Source organism: Homo sapiens, chromosome 1 (genome assembly GCF_000001405.40).
Source record: "Homo sapiens chromosome 1, GRCh38.p14 Primary Assembly".
NCBI lineage: Eukaryota > Metazoa > Chordata > Mammalia > Primates > Hominidae > Homo > Homo sapiens.
Window position 1 is genome coordinate 46,361,516 of NC_000001.11, and position 21,988 is coordinate 46,383,503.

The 21,988-nt window shown below is 44.7% G+C and overlaps 1 protein-coding gene across 22 annotated transcripts in view, besides 2 other annotated features; it reads left to right on the forward strand.

Moving 5' to 3' along the window:
- NSUN4 (NOP2/Sun RNA methyltransferase 4) overlaps positions 1–21,988 on the forward strand; it is a 44,393-nt gene that overhangs the window by 20,709 nt on the left and 1,696 nt on the right. For 15 of the 22 annotated variants that reach the window (NR_170618.1, NR_045789.2, NR_170617.1 and 12 more), the window contains one exon: positions 55–3,503. The exons of 1 other annotated variant lie outside the window; for it this stretch is intronic. Coding sequence is in view for 10 of the 21 variants with exons in the window: in NM_199044.4 (NP_950245.2) it covers positions 55–331 (277 nt within the window). In the remaining 11 variants the exon portion in view is untranslated. Of the gene's footprint in view, positions 1–54; positions 3,504–6,273; positions 7,704–21,988 lie in introns of those variants that run through there. 6 more of the 22 variants (NR_170620.1, NM_001387272.1, NM_001387266.1 and 3 more) reach the window with 5 other exon arrangements.
- Positions 3,188–3,388: a silencer, noted in NCBI's record as "peak205 fragment used in MPRA reporter construct". NCBI's record gives its function as "represses an SCP1 promoter by STARR-seq MPRAs in K562 erythroleukemia cells {active_cell/tissue: K562}" and the evidence as "EXISTENCE:reporter gene assay evidence [ECO:0000049][PMID:32103011]".
- Positions 10,548–10,712: a silencer, noted in NCBI's record as "fragment chr1:46837735-46837899 (GRCh37/hg19 assembly coordinates)". NCBI's record gives its function as "represses an EF-1alpha promoter that drives an FKBP-Casp9 reporter gene in an ReSE screen in K562 erythroleukemia cells {active_cell/tissue: K562}" and the evidence as "EXISTENCE:reporter gene assay evidence [ECO:0000049][PMID:32094911]".

Below are 21,988 nucleotides of genomic sequence, written 5' to 3' on the forward strand. Positions count from 1 at the left end.
CTTCTACTGCTGGGAAGCTCACTAGTAACTGCTTCTGTCTCTTTCTGGTTTCAGGGCTGGACTCCTTGCCACCAAACCAGGAGGCCATGTTGTCTATTCTACCTGCTCACTCTCACACTTACAGAACGAGTATGTGGTGCAAGGTGCCATTGAGCTCCTGGCCAATCAATACAGCATCCAGGTACAGGTGGAAGATCTGACTCACTTCCGAAGGGTTTTCATGGACACATTTTGTTTCTTCTCATCCTGTCAGGTTGGGGAGCTGGTAATACCAAACCTCATGGCCAATTTTGGCCCCATGTACTTCTGCAAAATGCGTAGGCTGACATAGTATCACCCAATCCCTGAAGCAAGAATACAAAGGGTATACTCTGTTGGATGCACCAGAAACTGGAAACTGGGACCAGTGGCAGAGATGCACTCTCGGTCCTGTCTCCATCCTGTTCGTGTCTTTCTGCAGTTTTCGGCAATAAGAAGTAGAAGATTTGCTGTCCTGCTGTCCAATTGTGGAGCATCAGCAGGTTTCCAACTCACTCATTAACCCCTACCCCATCTCCAGGCCTGTACTAAAGTTTGCTGCCCGCTTAGGGGCTTAGAAGGAGAAGCCAGTGAGCAGGCTCACACTAAGTTGTAAACATAGGAGAAGCATTTGGCCAATAAAGTTGTTGAAACTCTATAGACCTGGGGCTGCAGTTGGGGACTTCATGTCAGTGCAAATGCCATTAGTTCCATTTGTACCAGCCAGTTACTGAGCCCCTGTCACCCTTGAAGTGAGTTCCACCTGACCAGTCTTGAGCAGCCAACAGGCTCAATTAAGCCCGCCTGGTTTTTCCATATGGCTCATGATCTAATTTAAGGAACAAGTAACTAAAAATGTTAAGCCAGTGCAAAATAATCTGCTTACCTACTCACATTGGAAAAACCCTCTGAGCTGAATAATTCTGGCCATTCCTGCTGTCAACAATACTGCTGCCCAAATGTGGCTTAGGAGGCTGCTTCTGCCACAAAACCGTCATACTCTTGTGCGTGCCTTGTTCTTTGTTCATTCATCTAGCAGGTATTCCCAGACCTCGTGTATGACAGGTAGCTAGGGAGCTCTTGGAGATGTAGCAGTTGGGATTGTGGGAGATTACTGGGCTTCCTCATCCTTTAGAATGGTAACTCTCCTTTTGCTTTCTGAACACCTAGGAATTTCCTGATGTTTTGTTTTGTTGGATTCCAGACTTTTTGTTGTTTCTAGTCTGCAGCTGAGCTCTGGTGCCTGTTCTTTGGCCCACCCCCTAATCCCTAACTCTTCCCTCAGCATCACAGGGCTTCACTGCACACACTGTGTTCAGGGCAAGATTTCATCATTTACTGACTGCATACTCGATATGTTGTTTTTGTAACTTTAGCCAAAAGAAAGTAACCTTTAGTGGCAGGGATATAAAAAATTGCTCAGGGTCACTTGCAGATATTTTATTTTTAAACTTTTTTTTTTTTTCCTGGAAAACATCCTGTGCAGAAAAGGGTATATAATTTTAGAATACCTGAAGGCTTCTTGGCTTTTCCACTTTCCTTATTCCTCCTCTTCCTGCCACTCTTTTTGTCCCTTCTGTCTTTCCTGCTCATCCTTATTTGGGTATTAGAGGTGTCAGTTGAGGAGGGACTTTAGCTGAGGTTAAGCCTTCTTTTGGGATTTGCATTGTAATTGAGGGCCCTGGAAGATCTCTGAGACTCAAAATCAGGTGAAGCTAGGAAGATGGAGCTTTAAGGAGCATGGCTAGTGCTCTGAGTAGGACCGTAACCGCCTCCGTGCGTGGCATATGGTCCCTGCATGCTGTTCACTCTGTATAGTACTTAGTATTCGCTGAGGCTAAGAGGCCTCAGGTGCCTGGGCTTCTGCCCTTGGACTCCTGGATATCCAGCCTAGTGCTAATTGAATGCTAAGCAGTGGTAATTCAAAATGAGAGGGTCCCCTGCCTCTAGAGTCATCATCTAATTGGGGACAGGCAGACCTAGATAAGAAAAGCAGAGAACTACTTTGGAAAACAGTTTATCTGCTGTAATTGAACATTCAGCTACCCTATAACCCAGTTAATCCAATACTGGGGATAAATCCTAGAGAAACTCATACATGTACACCAGGAGATGTGTACAAGAATATTCATAGCAACCCTATTCACAAAAGCAAAAGCCTAGAAATAACCCAGATGCCCATGAGCAAGAGAGTGGACAAGTAAACTGGAATATTCACATAATAGAACATTATACAATTGTCAAATGAACTATAATGATACCTAACCATATGGATGAATCTGAGCAATAAAATAATTAAGTGAAAAAAGTTTAATCCCAGAAGAGTAAATGTAGCATGATGCCCTTTCTAAATGAAAGGTTTTTTCTTTTCTATGGAGTTATTCTTTACATACAATATAGTTCATAAATTTTAAATATATTGTTTAATAAATTTTGATAATTGTATATAATAGTATAGTCACCATCAAGATGTAGAAAATAGAAAATAGGCTAGGCACAGTGGCTCACGCCTGTAATCTCAACACTTTGGGAGGCCAAGGTGGGAAGATCACTTGATCCCAGGAATTCTAGATCAGCTTGGACAATGTAGTGAGACCTGGTCTTTACCAAAAAAAAAAAAAAAAAAATTAGCTGGGTGCGCTGGCATGTGCCTGTGGTCCCAGCTACTCAGGAGGCTGAGGCAGGAGGATCACTTGAGCACAGGAGTTTGAGGCTGCAGTGAGCAGCCTGGGCAAGAGAGTGAGACTCCGTTTTGTGCCACTGCACTCCAGCCAGGGTGACAGAGTGAGACTCTGTCTCAAAAAAAAAAAAAAAAAAAAAGGCATTGGGATTTATAATGTGCTGTTTAAAGTCTGAAGCTCGGCCAGGTGCGGTGGCTCACGCCTGTAATCCCAAAACTTTGGAAGGCTGAGGCAGGTGGATCACCTGAGGTCAGGAGGAGTTCAAGACCAGCCTGGCCAACGTGGTGAAACCCCATCTCTATAAAAGTACAAAAGGGCATGATGGCAGGTGCCTGTAATCTCAGCTACTCAGTAGGCTGGAGCGGGAGAACTGCTTGAACCTGGGAGGTGGAGGTTTCAGTGAGCCAAGATAGCGCCATTGCACTCCAGCGTGGGCGACAGCAAGAGACTTCATTTCGATAAATAAGTAAATAAATAAATAAAGTCTGAAGCTCCACTGGTCACTCCTTTTATTGATTATTTGCAGCTGGTCTAACCAGTTACGTATGTCTGGCTTGATTACATGGCCAGAGCAACATAAAAGCCCTGCTGGGAACTTCTGATTTGAGCTCTTCCAAAACCAGGATGGATGCCTCACATAGATCATGATGATTCAATCCAAAGGCACTTTGCAGTGCAGTCCACATGTGCATAAGGACCATGGGGAGCTTGTATTTGGGAATTCTGAGATTCCTGATGTTTACCTACCTAGTCTTTCTCTTGCTGCCCTGTATCCTTTGCCTTTAAATAAAAATCTTAAGTGATTATGCTCTGTGAAGCCTGGATAATCCTTTCAAATATTTGGTCTTGGAAAATTTTTGCATATATACATGGAATCATACAATATGTAGTCTTTGGTGTTTGACTTCTTTGACTTAGTGTAATGTTTTTGAGATTCAGTTTGTTGTGAGTATTAATGTTTTGTTCCTTTTTATTGCTGAATTGTATTCCATGGTGCAGACATACCACCATGTTGTTTATCTGTTCACCAGTTGATGGACATTTGAGTTGCTTCCAGTTTGGGGCTATTATTAGTAATGCTGCCAATACCTTTTGGGCATATAATTTTGTGAGTACGTGTTTTCTTTTCTTTTTTTATTTTTTGAGATGGAGTCTCACTCTTTTGCCCAGGCTGGAGTGCAATGGTGCAATCTCAGCTCACTGCAACCCCCGCCTCCCAGGTTCAAGCGATTCTTCTGCTGCAGCTTCCTGAGTAGCTGGGATTACAGGCACCCACCACCATGCCTGGTTAATTTCTTTGTATTTTTAGTAGAAACGGGGTTTCGCCATGTTGGCCAGGCTGGTCTCGAACTCCTGACCTCAGATGATCCACCTACCTCGGCCTCCCAAAGTGCTAGGATTACAGGTGTGAACCACTGTGCCCAGCCCATGTTTTCTTCTGAGTAAATACTTAGGGGTAGAATTGCTAGGTCATATGGTAAATGTATGTTTAACTTTATAAGGTACCACCATACTGTTTTCCAAAGTGGATCTACCATTTTGCACGGCCATCAGCAATGTATGAGAGGTCCATTTGCTCCACATCTTAGTACTAACACTTAGGATTATCAACGTTAAACTTTATTGTAGTGGGCCGGGCAGTGTGGCTTATGTCTGTAATCCCAGTACTTTGGGAGGCCGAGGCGGGCGGATCACTTAAGGTCAGGAGTTCAAGACCAGCCTGGCTAACATGGGAAAACCCCGTCTGTACTAAAAATGCAAAAATTAGCCGGGTGTGGTGGCACATACCTGTGATTCCAGCTACTTGGGAGACTAAGGCATGAGAATCACTTGCACCCAGGAGGTAGAGGTTGCAGTGAGCTGGGATTGCACCACTGTACTCCAGCCTGGGCAACAGAGGGAGACTCTGTCTCAAAAATAAATAATAAATAAAAACTTCATTCTAGTGGATGTATCTTGATACCTCGTTGTGGTCCTAATTTGCATTTCTCTAATGAGTAGTGATGCTATAAAATTAAATACAATTAAGAATTTAAAAACATGTAAAAAGAACATGTATGCAGTAAAACCATGTAAGAAGGAAAGAATGGTTCTCACTATGGAATTCAGTATAATGGTTCTTAGAGGTAGGGGGATAGGATGGGGCTGGAGGGAACATAAAGTTAGATTATTGTTAAGGCTCTAGCTTTTATGTTTGGTGCTTATTGAATTATTAAAAGCAGCTAAGTTAATAAAAAGTTATACATAAAAATTTGTTATTCATGACAAAAGTGATAAAAGTATGTTATAAACAAAGATTATGATTAATTCAATTTTGTACATCTGAGGTCTCCCTAAAAAAAGAGAAGGGGGTTGGCTGGGCATGGTGGCATGGTGGCTCATGCCTGTAATCCCAGTACTTTGGGAGGCCAAGGCAGGTGGATCACCTGAGGTCAGGAGTTCGAGACCAGGCTGGCCAACATGGTGAAACCCCATCTCTACTAAAAATACAAAAAAAAAAAAAAAAAAAAAAAAAGTGGGTAGAGAACCAAGCCCACAGAGAATAATAATGCAAAATATGGCTTAATGTAGGAGGGATCATATTGAGAGACCTGGAAGCTTAGCAGTATTGCCTCAGTCTTGTTCATGAGCTCCTCTTTCCTTGTGATTTGCAACAGTTGAACCACAGCAGAGGGTCAGGTATTGGGGCAGTTATGGGTCAATATACATTGATAGCTTGGATCTATGGTTTTCACCTTTTAGGAGTCACAAATCTGTTTGAGAGACTGGTAAAAGCTTTGGCCGTTCTCAGAAAAATAAAGACAAAAAACACCATAGCATTTTACATATAATTTCAGGGGCTTTGGTACTTCCTAAGGCCTATCTCCCCCAAGTTAAGAACCTTTGGATTAGAAGATCTCAGATTTGAGGGTCTTTAGTGGAAGGCAAGGGGGTCAAGCAGAGACCCCAGTAACAACTCAAATCACCACTCTCACCCCTGCCAATCTGCCCTTCTTCCCATCTGCATTCTTCATCTCCAAACTTAACACCACCCTTTACCCTGCTGCCCATGCCAGAAACTGCAGCTATCCTTGATGCAGTGACAGTAATCACTACTGTATATCGAACGTACCTGAGCCAGGCCCATGTGAAAAAAGCATTGTTTTACTTACATCATTGTTTCTTACTTTCACAGAAACCCTGGGATATGCTCTTTTTTGTTGTTGCCTATTTATTATAAAACTTTGAAAGAGTTATTCGTTAATTTGAACATTTTCATCCATTTTGTGGCTTTTCTTTGCACTATTTTTATGGTGTGTTTTTATTGCAGGGCAGGCAAGCCTCAAAACTGGGGCTTAGCCTGGGAGAAAGCCAGGAAAGAATTCAAGGGCAAGCTAGTGGTGTTAGACAGCAATCTTTTATTGAACAGTACTGCTCCTTGCAGAGTAAGGCTAACTCATAGGCAGCAAATCCAGAGTCAGCTGATATACTCTTTTTAGTCCCATTTTATAGAGAAGGAAACAAGCTTAGATTGCTTAAGTAACTCAAAAAGTTACAATCTGAAATTTCTTTTTTTTTTTTTTTTTTTTTTAAGACAGGGTCTGGCTCTCACCAGGGTGGAGTGCCGTGGTGTGATCTCGGCTCACTGCAACCTCCGCCTCCCAGGCTCAAGTGATCCTCCTGCCTCAGCCTACTGAGTAGCTGGGACTACAGGCACATGCCACCGCGCCTGGCTAATTTCTGTATTTTTAGTAGAGATGGGGTTTCGCCATGTTGCCCAGGCTGGTCTTGAACTCTTGAGCTCAAGTGATCAGCCTGCCTTGGCCTCCCAAAGTGCTAGGATTACAGGCATGAGCCACTGCGCCCAGCCACAATCTGAAATTCCTTTCTTGAAATGTCGCTTATATTTCTCTCCTTCCTAGCATTCCTACCTTAGGTAGGGCCTTATCATTTCTCACTGATCAAAGGCAGTAGCCTCAAAACTCATTTCTATTACTCCAATCAGCCCTAAATTCTTCCATTCTCCCCCATCCTCTCATGCCACCCCTTATCTGTTGTGTGATCGCCGATCACAATAATTCCTCCCATCCTGTCCCAGTACAATGTGACTTTGCTGCTTCTGTCATTAAGAGATGGAGTCTGTTTCCCCACCTCTTGAATCTGGGCTGATCTTATGATTTGTTTTGACCAGTAAAGTCTGGTGGAAGGGATGCTGTGCAACTTCTGCATGTAGGCCTCAAGAAGCCTCGCAACTTCCACGCTCATTTTGGAGCTCTTCTGCGGCTCTGTGAAGAAGCCTGGACCAATCTGCTGGAGACATGTGCTGGAAGCTGTCTTAGACCTCCTAAGCTCAGTTAAACGGTTAGGTGACCCAAACAGCATGAGTGACCCCAGCCAAGACCAACCTAAATCGCTGACCTCCAGAATCATGAACAAATAAAGTAGTGGTTGTTTTAAGCCAGTAAGTTTTGGAAATGGTTAAGTAAATTTAAATAAAATTTTAACATATGTCATTTGTGTTAGTAAGTAACACAAATCTGAGTGTCATTCATCTGCTTATAATTCTTTGTTCTTTAGGCTGGGCATGGTGGTTCATGCCTGTAATCCCGGCACTTTTGGAGGCCAAGGCAGGAGGGTCGCTTGAAGCCAGAAGTTTGAGACCAGCCTGAGCAACATAGGGAGAACCCATTTTTACAGAAAGATCCTTTGTTCTCTCTCCATTGCCAGCAGGATCAAGTCCAGACTTTTGCCCTGATCCCTGGTTGTTGATGCTGTTTTATCTGTGTCTGTCATGCCTTGCTGCTCCCCTTTTGCACAAATTCTTTGTCTATCCATGCATAGCATACCCCAATGCTTCTGGGTCAGGACAAATTGTCTCCTCTGTCTAAATGCCTTTTCCCTTGTGCTTTCTTGCTAGCTCAAATGTCCACCCCTCTGGAAGCTTTCTCTAATCCTTCTAAAGCTGGGTTGATCCTCTTCTGTGCTCCCCAACCTTCTCTATAATACAATGAATATAGCACTTTCCATGGCCACTTTTTCTTCTTTACCCATCTCCAAACTAGGAATTGTTAGGGACAGTAAGCTGGTATTTATTTTTGCATCCCTAACCCCCAAGTACCAACATGCTTAGTACCTATTTGGTAGTTAGTATATATTTGAGTACCTCCTATGTGCTAGGCTTAACTGTAGACGCTAGAGTGGTGAACAGAGCAGAAAAAAGTCCTTGTTCTCATGGGATGTACAATCTAGTGGGCAAGATAGACAAGTAATTACAAGTAAATTACAAGCAATTACAATTAGTTATAAGTAAATTATGAGTGAGCCAAGTACTGAGAGAAATGTAAAGTGCATATACCTGAGGGACCTAACCTCGCCTGGAGGAAGAGATGTTTAAACAGAGCTGAAGATAAAGAGGAGTTAAATTAGTGAGGCAGAGGAGGATGTTGGGAGTGCCCTAGCAGAGGGAACAGTTCGTGTGAATGTGAAGTCAGGAAAGAGGACATTCTAGATTCTGAAAGAGGTCCAGTATCCTGCAGTGTAAGGAGAAAGGAATGGTTGTGAAACACAAGGCTGGAGAAGCAGGCAGAAGCCAACCTACAACAGGGCTTTCTGGGCCACTTGAAGGAATAGGTATTCCATCCTGAGTAACTGGAAGCCATTGTCGGAGTTTTAAGGTGGAAAATGATCTGATCAGATTTCATGGGCCCCCCAGTGGGAATATGATTATCAGAATTTACTGAATGAGGAAGTTAAATAACTGGCTCTACAGAAATTGCTTCTGAAAGTCAGTCCTGTCCTTAAGTTTACTCAGCCTTATCTCTCTGAGTAAATGGGAACTTTTGAGCTCCAAGCTGTTCAGACCATATTTTGAGGTGACACTTTAGGAGGTGTACTGGCTGAAGAGGGTGACTGGGATGGAGAGGAAACTGAAAGTCTCATTCTGGGGAGAACTGGGGGAATTGGGAGTATTTCGCCAGGAGAAAGACAGACTTAGGGAAGAGAGATGTTGTCTCCAACTAGGACTGTTCTGAGGCAGGGGAAGCAGATGTGTTTTGAGTATCCCCAGGGGCAGAGCTGGGACCAGTAGAAGGAAGTTGTAGTGAGCCAGACTGTAGGTTAGCATACGAAACCTTTCAATGAGTGTTTTCTGAATTATCGCTCACAACCATGAATCATTAGTGGTCATGAAGTCAATTTGTGGGTATGATAAGCCTTAGGACTTCTCACAAAGGAGTACTTAGTTACTCCTTCTCTTGGACATGTAGTAGGCTTGCCTTCCCCACTCCCTCTGCAGGTAGGCATAGCCACGTGACTTGCTTTAGCCAATGAAATGTGCACAGAGGTGCTGTCTTTTTTTTTTTTTTTTTTTCCAGATTCATTTCACTTTTGTTATGAACAAACACAATCTCAGATCAGTATAACTAACTTCAGAGTTGATATTAATAGAAATTATTCCAAAATTATTCTTAGGTCACAAATTACTAGTATGCCACATAAAAAGGGAAAAATCCCACCTCATCAAAGAAAAGGTGTCCTGTGTATGTTTCCATGGGAATGAGTTTAAGCATTCTCAAATTTTCTCCGGCTAGTTATCCACCACTTCTCCAATGGATTCATTCAGTCTCTTAGAGAACCATATAGACTAATGATAGCTTCCGGGACACACAGACAGATCAAGTTCATGGTGGACATTGTTATTATAAAAAATACTCAGGTCTTGAGAATTCCTTTGCTGAAGGATCCCAAAATGCTTTATAAAAAGCATTAGTCATGCCTCAAAACTGCCCTTTGAGGTAGCTCAGTATTATTATCCCCATTTTAACAGAAGAAAACTGAGGCATATTAGAGTTAAGTGACTTGCCCAGGGTCACATAGCAAGTCAGTGGCACTGTGGTAGGAGAGGCTCTGTCCTTAACCACCAGCATAACATTGCCACCTTGATTTTTTTTTTTTTTTTTTTGAGACAGAGTCTTGCTTTGTTGCCCAGGCTGGAGTGCAGTGGTCTGATCGTGGCTCACTGACTCCCAGGTTCAAGCAATTATCCTGCCTCAGCCTTTCGAGTAGCTGGGATTACAGGTGCCTGTCACCACGCCTGGCTAATTTTTCTTTTTTACTTTTTTTTTTTTTTTGAGATGGAGTCTTGCTCTGTCGCCCAAGCTGGAGTGCAGTGGTGCGATCTTAGCTCACTGCAAGCTCCACCTCCTGGGTTCACGCCATTCTCCTGCCTCAGCCTCCCGAGTAGCTGGGACTACAGGTGCCTGCCTCCACGCCTGGCTAATTTTTTTGTATTTTTAGTAGAGACGGGGTTTTACCATGTTAGCCAGGATGGTCTTGATCTCCTGACCTCGTGATCCGCCCACCTCGGCCTCCCAAAGTTCTGTGATTATGGGCGTGAGCCACCGTGCTCAGCCTAATTTTTGTATTTTTAGTAGAGACGGGGTTTCACCATGTTGGTCAGGCTTGTCTCAAACTCCTGACTTCGTGATCCCCCCGCCTCGGCCTCCCAACAATCTGGGATTACAGGTGTGAGCCACCGCGCCTGACCAGGGAGCTTTCAATCATGATGAAGGTGAAGGGGGAACAGGCTTGTCACATGGCAAAAGCAGGAGCAAGCAAGTGGGGGTGGAGGTGGGCGGGGGGTGCCACACACTTTGAAATGACCAGATCTCATGTGAACTCAGAGAGCAAGGGTATGCTTATCATTGAGGAGATGGCCCAAACCATTCATGAGGGATCCGCCCCTATGATTCAAACACCTCCCACCAGGTCCCACCTCCAGTAGCGGGGTTTACATCTCAACATGAGATTTGGGTGGGGACAAATATCCAAACTCTATCAGAGTCCTTCTTTCCTTGTCTTGATAATCCCTTCTCTCTGTACTAGTCTCTTTAGCAAACTGGTTGCTGGGCCATACCCTTGGTTTCCTCTCCCAAACATGCCTTTTTACTGTTTTTTTTTTTTTTTGAGATGGAGTCTCGCTCTGTCACCCAGGCTGGAGTGCAGTGGCGCGATCTCGGCTCACTGTAAGTTCCGCCTCCCAGGTTCATGCCATTCTCCTGCCTCAGCCTCCCAAGTTGCTGGGACTACAGGTGCCCACCACCACGCCCGGCTGGTTTTTTTTTGTATTTTTAGTAGAGATGGGGTTTCATTGTGTTAGCCAGGATGGTCTCGCTCTCCTGACCTCGTGATCCACACGTCTTGGCCTCCCAAAATGCTGGGGTTACAGGCGTGAGCCACTGCACCTGGCCGCCTTTTTACTATTTACATGGCCAGGCTGAGTCTTCCAAATCTTTCCACTTTACTTCCCTTTTGATTATAAATTCCATCTTTAAGTCATTTTCCCCTTCTCACAACTTAATATAGGTAGTTAAAAGTAGTCATGCAGCAACCTGAATGCTTTGCTGCTTAGATATTCCTAATTTCTCCCACCAGATGGCCTAACTCACTGCTCTTCAATTCTGCATTCCATAGAGCCCTGAGGCATGGACACAATCTATCAAGTTCTTTGACAGTTTTTTGTTTTGTTTTGTTTTGTTGTTGTTGTTTTGAGACAGAATCTCAATCTGTTGCCAGGCTGGAGTGCAATGACATGATCTCAGTTCAATGCAACCTCTGCCTCCCAGGTTCAAGCAATTCTCCCACCTCAGCCTCCGAAGTAGCTGGGACTTCAGGCACGTGCCACCACGCCCAGTTAATTTTTGTATTTTTAGTAGAGACGGTTTCGCCATGTTGGCCAGGTTGGTCTCGAACTCCTGACCTCAAGTGATCCGCCTGCCTCGGCCTCCCAAAGTGCTGGGATTACAGGTGTGAGCCACTGCATTCAGCCTCTTTGCCCATTTCTAACAAGGATGGCCTTTAGCTTCCATTACCTTGTTCTTCAGGTCCATCTGAGACCTCATTAGAATGGCCTTTACTGTCCATATTTCTATCAGCATTCTGGTCACAACCACTTAAATAATCTCTGAGAAATTCCAGACTTTCCCTAATCTTTTTGTCTTCTGATCCTTCACCAGCACTGCCCTTAATGCTCCAGTCATGTCAATACAGACCATGCTCCTAGCCAACCTGCTCCTCCAAATTCTTCCAGCCTCTGCCCATTATCCAGTTTCAAAGCTGCTTCCGCATTTTCAGGTGTTCATTTTTAGCAACAACCCCACTCCTCAACACCAATCTTGTGTCTTAGTCTGTTTTCTGTTGCTATGAGTGACTACCTGAAGCTGGTTAATTTATAAGGAAAAGAAATTTATTTCTTTCAGTTCTGGTGGCTGGGAAGTCCAAGGTTAAGGGGTCCCACCTAGTGAGGGCCTTCTTGCTGGTGGGGATTGTCTGCAGAGTCCCAAGGTGGTACAGGACATCAAATGGCAAGGGGGCTAGAGCATGAGCCAATCTGGCTTTTATAACACCCACTCTTGTGATAACTTGATAAAAGCTGGAGGCTGCCCTCAGATCAGGCCCAGGAGGCCATCACCAATAATCCATTACCATGATAACCCATGAATCCATTAACCAATTAATCCATGAATGAATTAATCCACTCACGAAGGCAGACTCCTTATGACCTAATCTCCTCTTCAAGGCCCCACCCCTTAATACTGTTACATTGGGGATAAAGTTTCAACATGAGTTTCAGAGGGAACAAACACACAGGACACAGCAAAGAGGAATCTGAAAAAGTGGAAGTGGAAGTAGAGAATAGAATGGTGGTTACCAGAGGTGTGGGGTAAGGCGTTGGGGGATGGGGATGGATGGGGGTGGGGAGATGTTGGTCAAAGGATACAAAATTACCGTTAGAAATAATTTTAAGAGATCTAGCCGGGCGCAGTGGCTCACACCTGTAATCCCAGCACTTTGGAAGGCCGAGGCGGGTGGATTACCTGAGGTCAGGAGTTTGAGATCAGCTTGCGCAACACGGTGAAACCCCATCTCTACTAAAAATACAAAAATAGCTGGGCGTGGTGACACATGCCTGTAATCCCAGCTACTCGGGAGGCTGAGGCAGGAGAATCGCTTGAACCTGGGAGGCGGAGGATGTGGTGAGCCGAGATCGCACCATTGCACTCCAACCTGGGCAACAAGAGTAAATCTCTGTCTCACCAAAAAAAAAAAAAAAAAAAAAAAATAGAGATCTGTTGTGGCCAGGCACGGTGGCTCATGCCTGTAATCCCAGCATTTTGGGAGTCTGAGGCAGGCAGGTCATGAGGTCAGGAGTTCGAGATCAGCCTGGCCAACATGATGAAACCCCATCTCTACCAAAAACATAAAAAATTAGCTGGGCATGGTGGTGAGCTCCTGTAATCCCAGCTACTTAGGAGGCTGAGGCAGGAGAATTGCTTGAATCCAGGAGGCAGAGGTTGTAGTGAGCTGAGAGGGCGCCACTGCACTCCAGCCTGGACAACAGAGGGAGACTCTGTCTCAAAAAAAATTAAAAATAATAAAATAAAATAAAAGGGGATCTATTGTATAACATGGTGACTAGTTAATGACAATATTGTATTCTTGAAAATTACTAACAGAATAGATTTTAAGAGCCGATGGGCTTGGGGCACTTAGTCCCAGCTACTTGGGAGGATGAGGTGGAAGGATTGCTTGAGCCCAGGAGTATATGAGTATATGAGTATAAGCTATAGTGAGTATATGAGTATATGATCATGCCACTATACTCCAGCCTGGGTGACAGCATGAGACCCCGTCTCTGGAAAAAAAAAAAAGAATAGATTTGAAGTGTTCCCACCATACACAAAAAATAAGTATATGAGTAATGCATATGTTATTACCTCAATTTATTCGTATTTCAAAACAATATTTGCACACCATAAAGATATACAATTTTTATTTGTCAGTTAAAAATTAAATTTTTAAAAAGGGTAATAATAGTTTATTTGAACAATCAACATAATTGATAAACCCCTGACTAAACTGACCAAGAAAAGAGAAAACAAATTACCAATATCAAGAATGGGGCCAGGCGTGGTGGCTCATGCCCGTAATCCCAACACTTTGGGTAGCAGAGGTGGGTGGATCACCTGAGGTTGGGAGTTTGAGACCAGCCTGACCAACATGGAGAAACTCATTCTCTACTAAAAATACAAAACTAGCCAGGCATGGTGGTGCATGCTTGTAATCCCAGCTACTCGGGAAGCTGAGGCAGGAGAATTGCTTGAACTCAGGAGGCGGAGGTTGCAATGAACCAAGATCACGCCATTGCACTCCAGCCTGGGCAATAAGAGCAAAACTCGTTCTCAAAAAAAAAAAAAAAGGGCCGAGTGCAATGGCTCACGTCTGTAATCCCAGCATTTGGGGAGGTGGAGGCGAGAGTCTTTTTTGAGCCTAGGAGTTCAAGACCAGCCTGGGCAACATAGTGAGTCCTTGTCTTTACAAAAAATAAAAACAAAATTAGCCAGGCGTGATGGTATGCACCTGTAGTCCCAGCTACTCTGAAGGCTGAGGTGGGAGGATGGCTTGAGCTCGGCAGGCAGAGGTTCTAGTGAGCTGAAATCATGCCACTGCACTCCAGCTTGGGCAACAGAATGAGACTCTGTCTCAAAAAAAAAAAAAAAAAAAAAAGGAAGAATGATATTCACAATAGGTCTGATTTATATTAAAAGAATAGTAGTAAATAGGCCAGTGCGTGGCTGGGCGCGGTGGCTCACGCCTGTAATCCCAGCACTTTGAGAGGCCAAAGCGGGTGGATCACCTGAGGTCGGGAGTTCAAGACCAACCTAACGAACATGGAGAAACCCTGTCTCTACTAAAAATACAAAATTAGCCGGGGGTGGTGGCACATGCCTGTAATCCCAGCTACTCGGGAGGCTGAGGCAGAATTGCTTGAACCCAGGAGGTGGAGGTTGCAGTGAGCCGAGATCGCGCCATTGCACTCCAGCCTGGGCAACAAGAGCGAAACTAAAAAAAAAAAAAAAAAAAAAAAAAAAGAGGCCAGGTGCGGTGGCTCATGCCTGTAATCCTAGCACTTTGGGAGGCCGAGGTGGGTGGACCACCTGAGGTCAGGAGTTTGAGATCAGCCTGGTGAACATGGTGAAACTCCGTCTCTACTAAAAATACAAAAAAATAGACGGGTGTAGTGGTGGGGCACCTGTAATTCCAGCTACTCGGGAGGCTGAGGCAGGGGAATTGCTTGAACCTGGGAGTTGGAGGTTGCATAAGACAAGATCACACCACTGCACTCTAGTCTGGGTGACAGAGAAGGACCCTGCATAAAAAAAAAAAAAGCATAGTAGTAAAGATGTATTATGAATAAGTTTTTGCCAGTGAATTTATAATTTAGATGAAATGGACAAATTACTTGAAAATTTTCACTGACTCAAGATGTAAGATAAAATTTAATAGCACATCCTTAGATAATAGATTAGTCTGTCTCTCTAAAAAAAAATTAAAGGAACCACAACAAGCAAGTTAATAAATTAGATGGCCACCTTTAAATGAAAGGATAGAATAGAAAACACGTGCATCACACATAGTAAAGGTAAGTATTATATTATGAAGCATTTGCTTTAGAGAGCATGTGTGTGTGTGTGTGTGTGTGTGTGTGTGTGTATAGAAACACACTTACTAGGTTTTTTTTTTGAGATGGAGTCTTACTCTGTCACCCAGGCTGGAGTGCAGTGGCACGATCTTGGCTTGCTGCAACCTCCACCTCACAGATTCCAGCAATTCTTCTGCCTCAGCCTCCCGAGTAGCTGGGATTACAGGTGCACACCACCATGCCTGGCTAATTTTTGTATTTTTAGTAGAGAAGGGGTTTCACCATGTTGGCTATACTGATCTCAAACTCCTGATCTCAGGTGATCCACCCACCTCAGCCTCCCAAAGTGTTCGGGTTACAGGTGCGAGCCACTGCACCGGCCTTTTTTTTTTCAAGACAAAGTTTTGCTCTGTTGCCCAGGCTGGAGTGTAGTGGCGTGATCTCAGCTCACTGCAACTTCTGCCTCCCAGGTTCAAGCAATTCTCATGCCTCAGCCTCCAGAGTAGCTGGGATTACAGGTGTGTGCCACCACACCCGAGTAATTTTTGTATTTTTAGTAGAGACGGGGTTTCACCATGTTGGCCAGGCTGGTCTCAAACTCCTGACTTTAAGTGATCCACCCGCCTTGGCCTCCTGAAGTGTTGAGATTACAGGCGTGAGCCACCATGCCCAACCAGAGTTCTTTAAATAATAATAGACTTACCTTAGGATTTGATTTGCCTACAACCTACCAAGAATATATTCTCTGTGAAATATGACATAAATGTGGGATAATGACCCAAGAGTGCTTCTCAAGACGAGAGACGTGCTTTTCTGCATGTCTGATTTTCAAAAACTGGTTTGCCACCCAGGAGATGTTTTCTCCCACATCAACTTGGATAGAAGAGCTTATGGCAGACAAGCTGACTCAACACTCAGACTGATGTCACCAGATCAAAGTGAAAAATATGTAGCTCTCATGATCCAAATAAAAATGTTTTCGTAATAAAATTGCCATTGCTGTGGATCAGTTTTAGTCACACTTTTATTTTATCTAATGATATAGTCCTTGCTATATGTCAGGCACTGTTCTAAGCATTTCCCGAACATTAAGTCATTTAATTCCCACGGCAACCAATGGGGTAGTACAACATCCCCATTTTATAGATGAGGAAATTCAGGTACCGAGTAAAGAAACTAACCCCATAGTTTCAAACAAATTATAGGTGGGAGACAGCATGTATTTCATGTGTATCCAAAGAAGGCATGGGTGAAAACAGGTTGAGGAAAACAGATTTAAGGTGAGGTATGGCTGATGGGTTTCCAAGTTAATGATTGGGAACCTTTAATAACAATTCTACAGTCTAGTTGTAGGTGTCCATGTTACAGAGGTAGCAGGGCTTTTTAAAAATTTTTATTTTTTTAAATAGAGACAGGGTCTCCCTATGTTGCCCAGGCTGGTCTCGAACTCCTGAGCTCAGTAGATCCTCGGCCTCCCAAAGTGCTAGGATTACAGGTGTGAGCTACCATGCCTGGCCATAGCAGAGATTTTTTTTTTTTTTTTTGAGATGGAGTTTCTCTCTGTTCAGGCTGGAGTTCAGTGGTGCAATCTTGGCTCACCACAACCTCTGCCTCCCTGGTTCAAGGGATCCTCCTGCCTCAGCCTCCTGAGTAGCTGGGACTACAGGTGTGTGTCACCACACCCCTTAATTTTTGCATTTTTAGTAGAGACGAGGTTTCATCATGCTGAACAGGCTGGTCTTGAACTCCAGACCTCAAGTGATCCTCCCGCCTTGGCCTCCCAAAATGTTGGGATTACAGGCATGAGCCACTGTGCCTGGCCAAGGGATTTTGAGTCTTGAAGATCCAGGTGTGATTCACAGTTGGGCCCTCCACTGACTGTGTAGCACTGAGCAAGTGACTGGTTGTCTGTAAGGCCTCGGTTACTTATCTGGGCAATGAAGATCAGGAGATGTATCAGTTAGCTATTGCTTTGTAATGAACCAACCTTCAAAGTGGTGGTTTAAACAACCATTTATTATTGTCTGAGTCTATGGTTTGGTGGGTGGTTCCGCTGACCTTAGTTGGCTTGGCAAGACTCACTCATGTATCTGCAGTCAGGTGGCTCTGCTCATCTTGGCTGTCTCGCCTGTGTAAGGGCCTGACCAAGGGCAAATGGGCTGAGCAGGCTTTTCTCCACATGGCTTCTAGTCCTCCAGCAGGCTAGCTTGGGCTTTTTCTTATGGCAGTGGCAGGGTTCCAGGAGAGAGAGACAAAACAGTTCTCTTACAGCCTGGGCTAAGAAGTAGCACAAAATTCCTTCCACTACTTTCCATTGGTTAAAGCAAGTCACAAAGATTTACATGGGTAGGGAAATAGACTCTTCTCCTGGGGAGAGGAGTTGCAAAATCACTTTGCAGAGAGCACAGATACAAGGGGTCCTGGATTATTGGGGTCATTTATGTAATCAACTTAGCAGAGGAGACAAACTCTCCCCAAACTCAGAGGAGGGTGTAGAGGTTGGTAGGGGGCCCAGATATCTGCATTCAAAGTCCTGACAGTGCTTTGTAAATTGTCAGCACCCTAGGCAGTGCTTCTGAGTGTGGAATCCTCCCTCCTATGTGGGGCTGTGAGTTCCTGTCTTAGTCCAGTCATGCAGCTATACCAAAATACTTGAGAAGGGCCAGGTGGGGCGGCTCACACCTGTAATCCCAGCACTTTTGGAGGCAGAGGTGGGCAGATCACAAGGTCAAGAGATCTAGACCATCCTGGCCAACATGGTGAAACCCCGTCTCTACTAAAAATATGAAAATTAGCTGGGCGTGGTGGTGCGTGCCCATAGTCCCAGCTACTTGGGTGGCTGAGACAGGAGAATCGCTTGAACTTGGGAGGCAGAAGTTGCAGTGAGCTGAGATCGCACCACTGCACTCCAGCCTGGGCAACCAAGTGAGACTCTGTCTCAAAACCAACCAACCAACCAACCAAACAACAAACAAAAACAACTTGAGAATGGGTAATTTATAAAAGAGTGGAACATTTATTTCTTACAGTTCTAGAGGCTGGGAGGTCTAAGGTCAAGGCACTGGCAGATTTGGTGTCTGGGGAAGGCTTGCTCATTGCTTTATAGATGGTGTCTTATGGCTGAGTCCTCCCACAGCAGAAGAACAGAAGGGAAAAGGGGCTGTGAACAGCTACCCCATACCTCTTTTATAAGGTCTTTAATCCTATTTATGAGGCCAGGGACCTTTTGACTTAATCACCTCCCCCAAAAGCTCCACCTTCTAATACCATTACCTTGGTGATCAGGTTTCAGCATGAATTTTGAGGGACACATACACTCAAATCATAGCAGTTCCTTAGAGCTGGACTGCATCCTCCCCTTTAGTAGGCCCCTGGGAAAGGCTCACAGAAGAGAAAGGAAATGAAGAAGCAGAGCATTTACTGCTCCCATCCCTGGAACAAAGACAGACTTCACACCCTCTGGAATCTGAGAAGCTCCCTTCCCTTCTTCTCTCCCTTGGACAGCCCTGCCCCCACCTCAGAGGGTGCCAGGGAAGGTATTACCTGTCTTCCCACTCAACAGCTGAAGACACATAAGAATAACTTACCATCACCAGCTGACTGCGGATGCTGACAGGGAAACTTACCAGGGTCTGCTAGAGGGGCTGTGGGCAGGAGTAACTCTTGCATGAATGACCTGACAGCAGATTATGGCTCACAGAATGGTGTGGTGTTACCTTCTGGATAACACAGGTGGAGCCCTGGAAACCCACCCCCATTGGATCTTTGCATCCACCTGCTCTTCTAGTCCATGACCTTAGCTTCCAGCTTGCCTCTCCCAACCCTCCTCCATACTGCCTTCTCAAAATACTGGTTGGATTGCATACATCTCTGCTTAAAATAAAGTGAGCTAATATTTATTGAACACTTACAGTGGATGAGGTGCTGTTCCAAGCTCTTTGCTTGGATTAACTTGCTTAATGTTCACATCAATTGTGTGAGATAGTCACCAGTGTTATCCCCATTTTACAGATAAGGAAACTGAGGCACAAGAGGTTAAAGAGGCTTACTCCAGGTTACACAGTAAGTGGCAGAGTTAGGATTTGAACTCAGGCAGTCTGGTTCCTGAGCTTGGGATTCTCAGCCCATAAAACCCCTCTCTGTGGGCCTCTATTTTTCTAATAATAAGTAATAACAACAGCAATAATAATAATGATTAACATGCATGGATTTTTTACTATACATATGCTAGGCCCTGTTCTGGTTGTGTTACATGCATTAACTCATTTGATTCATATAATAGTACCAGAGTATTTGCTGTGGGGGGATACTATTATTACCATTATTTGACAGGTAAGGAAATGGGGACACAGAGAGTCACACAACAAGGATGGGTTACTAGCTAGTTCTACTCTACAGCCAAGCTCTAAAACACTTGCTCTGAATCATGTGCCATCTTGCTTCCCCCAAAGACTCTCCCCAACACAGTCCAAGGGCCCAGAATCCAAGGCCCTCTGGGTTATGCAGCACGATCTCTGCATTTCCACCAAAGCCTGTCTTGGTCTATGCAATCTTTTTTCTTCCCATTCAGGCCAGATTTTTGGTCTACTATTCGTTTAAGTTTCCCTAGAGCACAGCATATAGTAGCAGGTGTCAGTGGATGTCTGTTGAATTGAATCACTGGATGTCAGAAGGGTTTCTGGATCCTCTCTCACAGGAACAAAGTGGCCACTCACTGTGACTTGAACATTAGAGTCAGTCCAGGACTTGCTGCACTGGCCTCCAAACCCACTCCTAACCCCTAGACCCTTTTTGTAAATTAAGTTATATTTAATATGCGCCCAGGGAGCTTTCTGTTTAGAGAAGCCATCATTTCAGCAAACACAAGTGAATGCTTTGCAACTGGAGTCCCTAAAGTAGCAAATCTTGGCCCTACTCACAACAGGTTACAAACTTGGTGATTAAGCCTCAGGAATGACCAGTGTTTCCCTAGGACTATATATTATTTTCCCTTTGAGAAGGAGAGAGGGTCTGGAAAAATGCTTCTCATTTTGCAAAAGGAAGAATTGAGTTACCCAAGGTCATCCAACAAATGAATGGTGAGTTGAGGGCTAGAATCCTATTCTTTTACTCAGGAAATGGGGTGAGGTGACCTCATAAGAATCACTTCAGATTGCTGTTTCTGTCATCAGCACCTGTCAGCTCCCTTTTTCTAGGGAAACTGAGGTCTAGGACTTGAAACTTGTAAAGGGTTATCAGTGCTGAGTAGGAACAGAGGCACTCAATCCTCACTGAAGACAGAAACGCGAGGATTTGGGACCTTGCTTAACATACTCAAGAGCCTGACTCAAGGCCCTCAGGCTGGGATTCTTCCATTACCAACCAAGTCTTTCCATAGGTGGGCCTTTCACTCCATTCATAATCATTTATGGAGGGCCTACTAAGTGCCAGGCAGTGTTGCTAACCATCTTGCAAAGTAGGCATCATAACCAGCCCCCTTAGAAAAGTAAAGGCACAGATTCAGAGACGTAAAAACAACCAGGATCCGGGACTGCACCTCCACCCGGGAGCCCCTCCCCATGTTTCAGGAGACAGTGTTTCCCCGCACAAAGCACTTACCTGTGCCCCATCATACTTTAAGTAAAAAAGTCGTTGGGACAAATAGGGCCACTATGCAATGAAAAAAGCTACACGTCAACCCAAAGATACACACATTCTAAACTTTTACGACCCATTCCCAGGGGCAGTAATGGTGGTGCTGACGGATAGGGAAGAGCTCTGGCTTCCGGCTTCCCAGTGGAATCCCCATCCACTCAGCCACCTGTGTGACCCACAAAAGTTACTTTTATTTTTTAAATACTTAATTTATAAACATCAGTTCTATGGGACACAAGTTATTTAATGCCATTTGTCTTCAGTTACTTCATCAGTAATATGAGCATAAAAATGCTTCTTTTTTTTTTTTTTTGAGACAGTCTCACTCTGTTGCCCAGGCTGGAGTGCAGTGGCATGATCTCAGCTCACTGCAACCTCCACCTCCCAGGTTTAAGTGATTCTCCTGCCTTAGCCTCCCAAGTAGCTGGGATTACAGGCACAAGCCAAAATGCCCAGCTAATTTTTGCATTTTTTGTAGAGACAGGGTTTCACCATGTTGGTCAGGCTGGTCTCGAACTCCTAACCTCAGGTGATCCACCTACCTCGGCCTCCAAAAGTAATGGAATTACAGGTGTGAGCCACTGCACTGGGCCAAAAATGCTTTTCTCATAAAGTTGTTGGGAGAACAACTGAGATAAAGCACGTAAAGTTCTGTGAGAGAGGCCAGGACAGCAGTAGGGAACCTGTGTGTGTGTGTCTGTATCCGTGTAATTCATCCCCCTCTGAAGCGGACCAGGTCCCCAGACTCCCCCTGGTCTGGCATTCCTTCTGCTTCTTGGATGTAAAATCCAGAAGTACCCAGGACTGGGACAGGGTGACCCTGGGGAGGCCAGTCTGCAGGAAGTGGCTGAGCCAAAGGACAAATAATGGGTGGATTGGGCCATGAAGAAGAGCCCAGGGTGAGAGACCCGGTGTCCCGGGTTTGGGAAAGAGGAGGGGCAGGGGGTGGACGCCCCAGAGACTCTTCCAGTGTTTGTCCTGGGCTGGCGCACCGGAAGCCCCATGCTGGGGAGAGGTGGGCACCCTGTGGTGCATGACCAGCCTCCTGGTTCTCCAGGAAAGATACTGCTACAGGGTTTGTGGAGGTTAAAGAGGTCTGTGAACCCAATCTGTCACTGCTCCTGATCTTGTTGGCTGGTGTTTTTTTTTTTTTTTTTTTTTTTCCGAGATGGAGTCTCGCTCTGTCGCCCAGGCT